The following is a 13,918-nucleotide window of genomic DNA, read 5'->3' on the forward strand; positions in this document are numbered from 1 at the left end:
TCATTTTACTCCCCTCTGTTTTCTAACAGTGATTCAGCTGGGTGAATCAGGAGCCAGACAGCAAGAGAGGTGATACCAGAAGGTGAAGAGGGACATAGATTGGGAAGGGTGAAAGATTCCCTAAGGGATTTTTTTTTAAACGACAGTCTTGTTCTGTCACCCAGGCAGGAGTACAGTGGTGCAATCACAGCTCACTGCAGTCTCTACCTCCCGGGCTCAACGGATTCTCTTGCCTCAGCCCTCCTGAGTAGCTGGACTACAGGTGTGTGCCACCACACCTGGCTAATTAATTTAATTTAATTTAATTTATTTTTTTTGGAGAGACAGAATCTCCCTATGTTTCCCAGGCTAGTCAAAAACTCCTGGGCTCAAGGGCTCTCCTACCTCTGGCTCCTAAAATGTTGGGATTACAGGTGTGAGCCTTTGCACCTGGCTGGACTTCTGTTTTTAAGCTTACTAGGACCAGAACGATAATGGAAGAGGCTGTGAGCAGGCTCCACGTTTTCCATCTGAGCTTCCTACAAAATGTCACCAAGCCCTCTGTTAGCACAGCTTGGGTAGTGGCCGCAGCAGAAGTTTTCTGTCCCGGTCTTGCCAGTGATCAGCTGTGTCGCCATGGGCACTCCGGTTATGCCTCAAGCCCTCATCTCCTTATTTTGAGATAAAGACAATATCTGTCCCACCTATCTCTGGGGCTCATCAGGAAGCAGAACACCTCTGAGCCCACACTTTCAGCTTAGGTTTTTCCTATGAATCAGCTTCACAGTAATTAATGTGAAGAACTCATTATTGTTTGTTCTCAGTGTTAGATCCATTTCTTTAACAATCAATAGTCATGCATTCAGATCCCCTTAAATTCTCATAAAGTAAATACCAACCCAGCCTCCTGCCTGTCCTCTGGGCTGTGAAAGTCACGTGATCAACACCATTAAGGAAAAAGAGGCACAAAAACCCCAGAAAAACAGCTGGAGGTTCCGGAGACTGTGATTGCAACTAAAGCAATGCACAACCTTCTGACCAGAAGCTGACCCCGGTGCTGTCTCCTAAGAACTCCTGACTATCTGGAGACCTGAGGGCGGAGTGCAGTTCAAAGAGAAAATCTATTTTTAATGACTTGGGGGAGAAGAGTAGAGTGGTTGAGTAATTCAGAGTAATTAAACCTATCTATCACTCAGAGAGAGGAGACCAAAGTTGGTTGAACTTTTCAATGACATTTTTTTTCCTCCTCATTCATAAAAACTCAGCAGAGGTCCTGCAGGAGTCAAAGGGGAGAGGACAATATGAAAAGAAACTTCTGGCCCCATACAGTGGAATTCAACCCTTGGATGAGTGCTGGGGCAGTGACTGCTCCTGAAACCTGTTTTCAGGTAGAGGCCATATTTTGTACTGGTTTTGCACTTTGAAGGGGACAGCCCTCAGTTTCCAATCCAGCTTCTGTGCTTATCAGCTGTATGACACTAAGTAAGATGCTGGACTTTCTTGAGCTTTAGTTTCCTTCTCTGTAAAATGGTGACATTGATATCCATTTCACAAGGTTGTTCTGAGGCTTACGTGATGTCTGTACATACTGACTTGCACACAGCTGGTGCTCAATAGTGGTAGTTACCATGCTCAGTGTCTAGATGCAGACCCCACTGAAGGTGGCAGTGCTAGCATGGAAAAGCTGCAGAGGGCCCTGGCTTTGCTCTTCTATGATGGGTGACCTTGCTGAAGCCACCCGGCCTCTTGGAGCTACGATTGTTTATCTATGACATGGGGAGAATTATGTCTGCCCTTTTGCATGAAGAGCCATCCAGCCCCTGTAACTGCCGTCTTTATTAAATAATCCCAGTGTTGGAAGTGTGCTGAAACTCAGGATCCTTGGCTGAAAGAAGTCAAATTAAGCTCAGCGTGCTAAGGATAGAGGTAAAACTTGGGCAAGGTAAAACTACAAAGAGGGTAGGAAATCTTATGGGCAAGGCAGATACTCCAAACATCAAACCATATTTTATCAGAGAAGACTCCCATGCCAGAAATACTAGGGAGGTAGAAGTAGGACCCTTTCTAGGAAGTTCTGGTTTTTGGAAGGACCTACAAAAAAAAAAAAAAAAAAACAGAGATGCTGATACTGTGTTGTCTCCATGACAACAGTGGATTTATTCAGTTAGAAAAAGCAGCTGGGATAGGAAATGGGGGATGAGGAGGCTTTGGGAACTAGGGCCTAAGAAATAACTAAAACAGACCTCTCATCTGGGGACCAGATGCCTGGGATTAGCCAGGTCCTACAAAGCTCCTTATAGGGTCCACATTGACTGCCCTACCCCAGGAGGGGGAAAGGTGATGATGGCATGGGGTGGGGTGATAAGGCAGGGATGCCCCCTACCTACTCATTCCTACTCATTCATTCCACAATGGTTGTTTGCCCAGACATGGTTCCAGTGAGGCCCCAGGACACACAGAGCCTGAGTCTAGCCTTACCACAGAGCTTGACTTCTTCCAAGAACTGGGCATCTGCCTAACAGGACCCCATCTCAGGGCCCTGCCCTTTTGATTTCTACTTCCCTTGCCTTCCAGTCTCCAAGAGAGCATGAAAGAAGGGTTTGGAATTCCAGTTAATCCCAAATGCTCTCTCTCTCTTTTTTTTTTTTTTTTTTTTTGAGATGCGGTCTTGCTCTGTTGCCCAGCCTGGAGTGCAGTGGTATGATCTTGGCTCACTGAAGCCTCAGGCTCCCGGATTCATGCAATCCTCCCACCTCAGCCTCCTGAGTAGCTGAGACTAGAGGCATGTCATGTGCCACCATGCCTGGCTAATTGTTTAAATTTTTTATAGTGATGGGGTCTTGCCATGTGGCTCAGGCCGGTCTTGAACCCCTGGGCTCAAGTGATCTGCCCGCCAGAGCAACTCAAAGTGTTGGAATTACAGGTGTGAGCCACTGTGCCCAGCCCCAAATGGCCTTTTTTAATGTAAAGTGCTTATGGCCTTTTTAAGCATAGAAGGTGAGGTTTGGAGTGGAAATCATCAGGGGAAGGAGCCCAAGAAGAAGCTGGTCAGACAGCTCGGGTAAGAGCATCTTTGCTGTTGTTGAATAGAAGGTTGAAGCCACCTTTAGTGTTGTCTGAGATGAGGATTCAGAATTTATGTTTGGGAGAATACTTTTATAATAGGGAAAGTGGGGCCTTTAGGACATCACTGCTCCTGAAAGATACTATAAAAATTAGCTCCCTCTGGCAAAGTCCCTGGCACTGCCTCCCAACAGAGCTCTAGTTTTTGCCTCTTGGTCCCCAGCAACACTTCCTGCTCTGCTGTTGGCATTTGTGGTTATTGATAATACGTGTGGGTTCTTAGGGATTCCTTGTTTTCTAATCTTCCATCCTTGATACTTCCCTTAGAATCTGTTTCCCCAGTTATGAAGGGACCCCACGTTGATGTTCCCAGGTCGTCTTTACATAAGGAGGACAGTGTCATCAAATGGTATGACACAGAATCAGATTTGGCAAAGCCTGACTGCCCAAGGCCTTCTTCACTGCACCAGGTCAACAGCTATGTACACAAGGAAGCAGGGAGCTAGCTCAGCATTATCCATAGGTGCCGGATCTGAGACCAGACTCTACCTCTCTGCCTAAACTGTTGTATGACTCTGAGTAGGTAAGAAGCCACAGGAACCTCATGCTGTAAAACAGAATTTTGGTTTTCAGCAAACACCATGGAATGCATCTTCTCCACTATCTCGCAGCTTTCCTTTCTAACCATCCAAAACTTGGGCATCTTGTCCTCTCTGACACATCAGACCCCCCGATAGTATTCTCTCTGACTTTTCTTGGTATGCTGAGTGACTGGTTCCCTTGGGCAGAACTATAGAGAATTGTCTTGTCCATCACAGCTTCCTAGAAGGCAGTGAGTGAGTAGATGAGTGTGTGTGTATGTGTGTGAAAGAGAGAGAGAGCGAGAGAGGGAAGGAAGGATAGAGGGAGCGGGAGGGAGATGGAGGATAAGAATATGTATTAAATCTCTGCCTAAGGGGAAACAAGAGTCTCCTATACTTACATTGGAACATTTTAATTTCCTTTTGGTATAGAGCTCATTTATTCATTCCTGCCATTCATTCATTCAACTCTGGCAAGGTGGTGATATGAGGCAGGAAAGCTCCTAGGCTTTGCTGGATCCAGTGCCTCTGTGTTGGTTTGGGAACCTTTATAGACTGGTCAGTTGGATCAAGACCATTCCATGGAGGCAGCAATGACCACATGGCCTCAGTGCTTTGTACCCAGGGGTTAGTCAGTGTGGGTTGATTGGCGTGACCTTGTGAATCTGCATTCTGATATATTTGATTTATCACCAAGTCAACCTGAATGTGGTAGAAATACACCGGGCACATATACTTTGTGCATTTGCTTGTTTATTCATTCATTTACTCAATCATTAGTCTATCCGCTGAGTTCATCCATTCATCCATCCATTCATCCACCAGACTGCTATATATATAAGTTGTATAAAAGTTATCTGCAGCTGAAGAAGAAACTGAGGAACAGAGAGTCTCAGTGAAGTTGTTTAAAGTCATGTATTCAGTAAGTTATACAGCTGGGACTCGCACTCAGGCAGGCTGGCTACAGAGCCCATGTTCTCAACTTTTACACCATACCGCCTCTTAGACATGAAGGATGGCATGGGTTAGAAAATGCTAAGCCCTGTACCTTGCTGATAGCTGATAGTTATTATTAATAAATATGTATTAAACACCTACAATACAGTCTGTGTAGACATTAAGTTCACAGAATGCACAGATACAACCTTGATCCCAAAGTACTCATAGTGTTGTCAGGAAGACAGACACACCTCCCAAACTATAATGAAATATTAGCAATATGATTGAGACATGGTAAAAGCTATAGGAGCAAAAGGGAAGTACAAATCAGGGAAGGCTTTCAAGAGTCAGTGTTTTGTACCAATAATACAAAACACAGTTTCTTTCAGCTAAAGAAACACAACAATAAAAATAAAATATAAAACAACAAGAAAACTCTGCCTATCTCAGGAAGTTTATAGTCCAAACACCTCAGTGTGACATTTCAGACTTCTAAATTCTGCTCCTCACCCAGGCTGACGTTTCCACTCCTGACCCCTTTGGTCAATGTCAACTGCACTCCTGCCAGGCTGGCCTCCTCTCTTGCTTTGTGTAGTCCTGCCTCCATGCCTTTGCTCATACATTCCTGCTAATCCAAACATCCTCCCCTCTCCCGCTCATGTGCAAATCCCTGGGCCCTCCCTCCTCCAGGAAGTCTTCCTTGATCAACCTTTGTTACTTCTCTCTCTGAACTGAGAATCTGACTGCCTGCCCAATTGGCATGAGTCTAATGCACTTTTTATACTCTTCTTAGGTAGGTAACTTTTTAGATTACTTATAGGGCTCTTCTTTTTATTTCTTCTTATGAGACATCTCTGTATGCTCCCACTTCAGTTTCTTGTACGAAATAGGTCTATAAATACCTGCTGAGAAGCTAATTATACTTGCCCAATGATCCAGGTTTTATTTTAAGCTCTTTAATCAAATGCACTATGCTAAAGTTCTCTAGGTGTGGCTGAGGCCCCCTGGTATTCTGCGAGTATCCATTCGGTGACTTGAGGGCTTTTAAAATTTTTTAATAGTCAATGTTTACAACACAGCAGAGGCTTTTGGTGTCACGGAAAGGACATAGCTGTTAGGGTCAGAAGAACGTAGCTCAGCCTCACCACATACTCAACTGTACCGGGCAAGTCCCTTAACCTCCCTGGGCCTCAGTTTTCACATTTGTTAAATATTATTGGATGTTAAAATTAAGGCATCCACGAAGGCACCATGATACAATAATGCTGTGTTCTAAGGTAAAGTGCAGACTGCCATACAATTTTTCAGAGTAGATTCTCAAGATTCAGGTTCATGATTCTTCTGCCCCTGACCCTGGATCCCCTGACCCAGATGAATGGAATGAAAGGATTAAAGGGGCCAGGCAAGGTGCTTATGCCTGTAATCCCAGAACTTTGGGAGGCCAAGCTGGGCAGGATCATTTGAGTTCAGGAGTTTGAGACCAGCCTGGCCAACATGGTGAAACCCCGTGTCTACAAAAATACAAAAATTAGCCGGGTGTGGTGGTGCATGCCTGTGGTCCCAGCTACTCAGGAGGCTGAGGCAGGAGAATAGCTTGAACCTGGGAGGTGGAGGTTGCAGTGAGCCGGGATCACACCACTGCACTCCAGCCTGGATGACAGAGCAAGACTCTGTCTCACATAAAAAAAAGAGTTGAAGGAATGAAAAAGAAGAGACTGTGTGAATTATTGGAGGGAGGGCTTGGAAGGCTGAAACCTAACCACCCTTCAACAGGACCACCTGGAAGTGGATAGGAGGATGCAGGAGGAAACCCAGAGGGTAGGCTGGCGAGCCCGCAGGAGGCAGAGCGAAGCAGGAACTTGGGAGGTCACCGCTCCCACCCCAGCTGCACAATGGTGGCAGGCTAAAAAGATGGGCAAGTACTTCCCTTGCAGCAGATGTGGACACCTTAGGAGGGAGGGCTGGCCTGAAGCATTTTACAACCTGTCCAAAAGACCCCCTGGAGGTGGTGCTGTGACCCCACTGCGGACATCTGTATGGAGAGAACTGGAAAATCACGGCCAAGAGGACAGTGTCCAGTCAAGAGGAAGCACCACCCTCTTGATGACAGCTGCAGCCATGGAATGGTTCAGCAGGGGAGTTTCGAGGCCCAGGAAGAACCCAGCCCTGTAAGAGTCAGAAATATCCACCAGGCCTGAGAACAGAGGCTATCTGCTGCCAATTCCAGTTCATGTGAGAAAGAACTCCTCTGACCCCTCTCCTTTCTACAAAGTGGATCCATTTGGGGGAAAGCAAATGAGAAAGAGAGAGACAGAAGTAACTGGAGACCATGCAGCAGGCTCAGGCAAGGGGAGGAAAAAAATCTGCACATCAGTCCATAGGTTAAGTCTGGTCTGGAACTGGACATTATCATTCCAATTTGAGGCTGTGTTTGAGACTGGAGTGACGAAAGGCCTTTCATTATCTACAAGTGTGCAGAGAAGCTATGCCACCTGCCTGAGATCCAGGCAAAACTTTACTCATGATAAACATCTTGAAGAGACAGTAGGAGACAGCAGAAAGCTGCCTTGTGATGGTATCTCCCAGCACGTGGGTTGGGCACGATGATGTTAAGGACTGCTGTTCCTCACTAGCATATTGTCATGAGGTTCACAAGAAGTGAGAGCTTCAGCACCGCATTGTTCACTATCAGGCTTATTGCATACAGATGGATAACTTACTGATAAAATTGTTTAAAAAAAGAAAACTGTGGACACCAATCCTCAGATGGTTCAGCAGACCATTTTTCCTGAAATCCTGGTGTCCTTCCAGGGAGTGAATAGGTCAGGCAGTCTCTTTTGCAACGAAAGTGGCCAGAAGAATTTGAGAACAGCCACACAGGGAAGCCCCTTGACCCACTGGCCACCCTCTTCCAGGAGATGCAAGCGTGATGGTTAAATGTGACAACTGAAGCTGGTCTGCTGAAGATAAGGCTGCAGTCAGGAACTGGCTCCAGGTTAGTAGCCCTCTCTGGGTGCTTCTGCCTCCCCCACCCCGGGGTCTTGTCCTGCCTGGGCAATCAACGGGGATTAGCACTTTGCAGCCTCCCCTCACCTGGAGGTTAGTGTGGGGACTGTTCAAATCTACCTTCCTCACAGCTTTCTATTCCTGACCTCCCTGAATGGCTGCCTCAAATGTAACCAATGTCATCGAGCTTCTGGGGGTCACAGAGAGGGGAACCTGGGGGAGATAGAAGAGAGACAAAGATACATTTTTTTTCTTTTTTTTTTAAAAGAGGTGCTTAGGATATTAATTAGAGCAAATAATCACCAAGTTGTCTGAGTCTCTATTTTATTTGGTGCATGCCGGGTCCGGTGGAAAAAAAGCGGAATTTTAAATAATTTTGGAGTCATAACTGATGTAATTAGGTGCTCACTGAACACTTAGCATCGAGCTGTGCTTATTAAAATTACTGTTTTAATCAGAACATTGCCGGAGAATCATTAATAATACAATGGCTTGATTCCCTGGAACTCTAATTAGACCTGGACTTTTAACCACCTGAGCGTAATCTGGCTTCGTCTGGATACACACCACGGGTGATGCATTATCATTCCAGGGCATGTGGGGATGGGGCATCAATACTGCTATTTAGTGACTGCCTGAATGCTTCTTTTTTTTTAGAGCAGGAGAGTGTGCTGAGGTGGCACAGGAGTACGAGGCTGAAAGGTGAAAGTGGAGGAGGTCAGCCAGGGGCTTGGGGTTGGAGGTCTCCAGGAAGAAGTGGCAGGAGATATGTTCCCTGATGCCACTGGCCAGGCATGCCATATATATTGTTGTCTAGGAGAGCAACAAAGCCACCATATCACAGACCCAGCGAAAGGTGTCCGGATGCTCTGTCCGCAAACAGGCCTGTCCCTGATCCAAAGCAAACACACCTTCAGGGAGGGGTGAAGCTCTAGTCCCTGCAAAGCCCTTGAACACAAGAAATCAAATCAATCCTTCACTAAGTGATACGGAAAGGTGAGTCTGGTGAAGGGCTAGGGCCACTTCTTCCTCTTCCTGTCCAGCACTTTATGTCATCACAGAAAGAGACCAAGAGATTGGCTGAGTTTCTCTGGAACTTCCTTTTTTTCTTTCTTATTTTATTTTATTGAGACAGTGTCTTGCTCTGTCACCCAGGCTAGAGTGCAGTGGCACAGTCTCAGCTCACTGCAGCCTCCGCCTCCTGGGTTCAAGCGATTCTCCTGCCTCAGCCTCCCAAGTAGCTGGGAATACAAGTGTGTGCCACCATGCCTGGCTAATTTAATTTTTGTATTTTTAGTAGAGATGGGGTTTCACCATGTTGGCCAGGCTGGTTTCGAACTCCTGATCTCAAGTGATCCACCTGCCTAGCCTCCCAAAGTGCTGGGATTACAGGCATGAGCCACCGCACCTGGCCTTCTCCGGAACTTTCTAATCCTTAGGGACATTTCTTTGGGTAATGAGGTCCAGAACCGGAGGGAGGTGAGTGGATGGATTTGTGTCCCCTGAGGCGCCTGGCTGAGCTGGCTTTTGGGGACAGGGGTCACTGGCCCAGCTCCTAGCTCTAAGCACAGGGCTTTGGTGTCTCTGCACCTTTGGCTGGTGACTCAGTGTGTCAACAATACTGATTTAGCCCCGGCTGGGTGCAGAGTTTTCTGATGGATGTCACAAAGGTGGCCAAAACCAAAGGAAATGAAAACATGCTCTCTGCCCTCCTACAGCTTGCTAACTAGTTGGAAGAGCATAACAAAGATGTGAAAAAAAGATTCAGGACTCTTAAAAGGCAGATACTGAGATGTGAAAATTAAGCTGGAGCCAGACAAGGGCATGTGGAGTTAAGTGGTGATTAGAGTGGGGTGGGATTAATCAGAGAGGGGGTGAAGCTTTCTGAAGACAGACTGTGAGGCCAGACTTCATCTTTGACGCATGGGGAGGGGCAGGCAGCACTTTTCGGGTTCTTCATTAAGCATTCCTCTGGCTGCTACTACAGGCCCTGAGACAAGAAGATTGAACTCTCTGAGACTCCCTTTCAGGACTACCACTTGCCAATGCGGTACTTTGGTGCAATTTGAAAGAGGTGCCCCATCTAGGCACATGCCTTGGTAAGATGAATGAGGACTTTTGTTTCAGCCCCTACTTGCCCCTCAGCCAGATGCCTTTATGTAGTGCATTTCCTGAACCATCATTTCAGCCTTGAAGTCCCTAGGGAAGTAGGGAGTTGAAATATAGCTGGTGGGTCTCCCAGAGTTCTGGCCTGGTGGACTCAGAGACAGAATGTTTTTAAGTACTAAATATTGTGGGCCCTCTTATAATGTCTGTGAGGGGAGGTCAGAGGGTGCAGAGAGATGGGAATCACCTTTGGGTCTGAGAGCAGGCAAGGCTCCAAGGAGGAGGCAAGATTTGAAAAGGGGCAGGGTGAAAAGTGGCCTGGGCATGAAAACGCCATAAACCAAAGCAGAGAGAATGAGCTATGGGTGTGCACTGGGGCCAGCGAAGGACACAATATGGGATGTCACCCATGTAGATTTCCTTTGTTACTCATTCCTTAGCAGTAGACGCTTAATAACCGAAAAAGTAAAACAAATCTAATCCTCCCTCAAGGATGAAGAGCCCAATGGAAGAATTTCTCTGTAAACCAATGCTGCTGGGAAGGAGATTTCCATCCCCGGGGAAACCTAAGTAAGGTCCACCATGAGCGAGAGCTGGGCTCCGAGACTGCCTTAGGAGAGGGGGCCTGGTCAATCGCTATCCCTTTCAGGATTCCCTAAAACCCTCTCACCCCAGGAGGATTTATACACCAGGGAAGGTCAGATGTGAGGCGAAATGGTCTCTGTGTTTTAGAAGCAGATGGTTAGGTTTCCACTCAAGAATTCTCGTGCTTATGAAAAAAGAATACTGATATGGTTTGGCTCTGTGTCCCCACCCATATCTCACCTTGAATTGTAATCAAAGGCAGGACCAGGTGGAGGTAATTGAATCATGGGGGTGGTTTCCCTCATGCTGTTCTCGTGATAATGAGTGAGTTCTCATGAGAACTGATGGCTTTATAAGCATCTGGCATTCCCCCTACTGGCACTCATTCTCTCTCCTGCTGCCCTGTGAAGAGGTGCCTTCCACCATGATTGTAAGTTTCCTGAGGCCTCCCCAGTCATGCAGAACTGTGAGTCAATTAAACCTCCTTTCTTTATAAATTACCCAGTCTCGAGCATTTCTTTATAGCAGCATGAGAACAGACTAATACAAATATCATGAATGGTAGCCCCTGACACACACACATATGTACTCCATTACTCCACAAACCCATACCCATACTCGTGTACACACACTCATGAACACAAACACACATCCATACCACACACTCACAGTGCACACCAATACAGTGACACCATGCACGAACTTCACACATGCTCACATCACAGCTCACACGGATACTCCATACACACATTCATGTCCCACACAGTCATGGACAGGCAGGCCCACCACACTCATCTCCCCTCATACCCCCACCTGCACACAACTGTGAGAAGAAAAGAGCCATCAGGAGCTGTCTCTCTCTGGCTGGTAGTGAAAAAAGATTAGGGCTGCCCAAGATTAAACAGGAGAGTTAAAAATGACAAACAGACTTCTAAACAGGATTAGAGTCTTAATGAAAACCATAATGAATGGAAGAGCCACACAGATATCACCCATAAACGGCTATAAATATCAGACCAACAGATGAGATCCTAGATACTGCAGTTTGGAACCCCATCAAATTACTTCTATTATAATTCATCAATAAATAACCAGGCCCAGCCTCATATTTAAGGTTCTATCATGCTTTGGAGAATAGGCTCTGAGGCCAGACAGACCCTGGTTTGAATTCTGTTTTTGCCTCTGATTTGCTGGGTTTTCTTGAGCATGTTAGTGTTATTTCTTCATCTTTATCCATAAAAACGTCTTAATCTATAAAATGTGGATGATTATCTCCCTAATAGGAATGTTGTGAAGATTAAATTAAGTTCTGGACAGCTATAATAATAATTTTTAATAATATTAACGCTTTATTATTATGGTGATTGTTAAATTTCACTCTCTCTTGTTCCCTCTTCCATGCCCCTTTCAGCTTCCTAGGGTTAAGGAAAGCCCGTGAGATGCACCCATTGGATGGTGAGATCAGTAGGAAAATAAGGAAAAAAGGAGAAGGGAGATAGAAGGAATAGGAAATAATAGGAGAACAAGGCAGGGGGAAGAAAGCAGGAAGAAGGGAAGAGGAACAGAGAATAAGGATGGCAGAACCCTTAGATGTACACATTGATGTCATCCATGGTGCAGCATCCACTTCCTCTTTGGGTGGTGGTTGCCAGGGGAAGGAGAGGTGCTGGAATAGCCAGACAATTAGGACATGATCTTCCCAAGATTTTTAATATAAGAGCTTTAATGAGATAATTCACACACCAAAAAATTCACCAAACTAGATTGCGCAATTCAATGGTGTTTTGTATATTCAGGAACTGTACAACCATTAGCACAATCCATTTCAGAATACTTTCATCATCCCCCCAAAAGAAACCCCATACCCATTAGTAGTCACTCCCATTCCCTCCTGCCTGCCCCAGCCCTAGGCAACACCAATCGACTTTCTGTCTGTAGGGATTCACCTATTCTGGGCATTTCATAGAGATGGAATCATACAGTACGTGATCCTTTGTGACTAGCTTCTAGCATGATGTTTTCAAGGTTCATCCATATTGTAGCCTATGTTAGTAACTTCCTAAATTTCCTAATTCAGAGGCAAGAAGGTGAAAGAAAGGAGCTTAATATCCTCCCACATAAGCAAGTGTCATGATGGAAACTGTCCCACTGTTCACCCCAAGAAATCCCACTGATCCAGTTTAGTCATTAATATACACACTTAAGATATCAGGCAGCTGGATTCTTTCATTTTTACCATCAGGGAAACCGAAGCACAGTGAAATGATGTTTTCGAGTGTGGGCCTTTTGCACCCTCCACACACCTCTCATGAAAAAAAGAAAATGAAATAGGCTCCAAGTGTAAGGGTCTCTTGTCTCTTGGTTTTTATGATTTAGATTTAATGTTAAGAGACAAATAAGGGTCTCCTGGTAGTCTGTCCATATGTCTCTCTCTTACCTCTCCAAAGTGACAATTCCCAGTTCAATTTTTACAATGTAAAAGAATGACTCTCCTCTAATGGTTATCTGTCATTGTTTATGTTTAAAGTAATTTTATATGTTAAGACTGTAGCCTTAGGATGCGGGAAAGCAGAAAGCAGTACCCTTGGGCCAAACGCAGTTTCTGAGGTTGGAGGAGCTTCTAATCTGGATTGAAAAGGACGCGGCTAGTCATTGGACTTAGAAAACATAAACCACCTTTCTTCTATAACTGAAGTGAGATGTGTCCCTAAGGGAAGCTACTTGGAGAGTTACGGGAATGACCAGGTATCTATTCCATCTAGTTGACCCCAGAGAGAGAAACTATTTAAAGCCTATGTTGTGTGTGCAGCTTCACTCTGCACTGACGTCTACCAACATTGCCCCGTGGCCACTAGATGTTAGTCTAGGGCCACTGGTAAAGAAACTGAACTTCATAAAAAGTAGAACCAATCCAGTGGTTGTCAGAATAGAAAACCAAGTATCACACGTTCTCACTTACAAGTGGGAGCTAAATGAAGGGAACTCATGAACACAAAGAAGGGAACAACAGACACTGGGGCCTACTTGAGGGTGGAGGGAGGGAAGGGGGAGAGGAGCAGAAAAAACAACTATTGGGTACTAGGCTTAGTACCTGGGTGATGAAATAATCTGTACAACAAATTCCCATGACCCGAGTTTACCTAAATAACAAACCTGCATATGTACCCCCGAACCTTAAATAAAAGTTGTTTTAAAAAGTAGAACCAGGCCAGGCACGGTGGCTCACGTCTGTAATCCCAGCACTTTGGGAAGCCGAAGCGGGCAGATCACCTGAGGTCAGGAGTTCAAGGCCAGCCTGGCCAACATGGCGAAACCCTATCTCTACTAAAAATACAAAAATTAGCTGGGCGTGGTGGCGGGCGCCTGTAATCCCAGCTACTTGGGAGGCTGAGGCAGGAGAATCCCTTGAACCCGGTAGGCAGAGGTTGCAGTGAGCCAAGATCATGTGATTGCACTCCAGCCTGGGCGACAACAGCAAAACTCCGTCTCAAAAAAAAAAAAAAAAAAAAAAAAGAACCAGAGATACCCTATGTTTTAGGCAAGCCCAACTAAAGAGGGTTGAGAAAATAAATTTCCTATACATGTGAGGCCTTCTTTCTTTCCTATACATTCAAATATTGATTTAGCTTGAATTATAGGGAGAGGAAATTGTCCACAGC

The 13,918-nt window shown here is 45.6% G+C and overlaps 1 protein-coding gene and 1 long non-coding RNA gene across 4 annotated transcripts in view; one reads left to right on the top strand and one right to left on the bottom strand.

The window, feature by feature from the left end:
- PLXNA2 (plexin A2) overlaps nt 1-13,918 on the bottom strand; it is a 222,143-nt gene that overhangs the window by 88,690 nt on the left and 119,535 nt on the right. The window lies entirely within an intron of this gene.
- Nucleotides 8,477-10,251, top strand: LOC124904499 (uncharacterized). The gene is made up of 3 exons (XR_007066849.1): nt 8,477-8,564; nt 9,556-9,667; nt 10,167-10,251. It is a non-coding gene; the product is annotated as an uncharacterized LOC124904499 (long non-coding RNA).

This window comes from Homo sapiens, chromosome 1 (genome assembly GCF_000001405.40).
Source record: "Homo sapiens chromosome 1, GRCh38.p14 Primary Assembly".
NCBI classification, from domain to species: domain Eukaryota; kingdom Metazoa; phylum Chordata; class Mammalia; order Primates; family Hominidae; genus Homo; species Homo sapiens.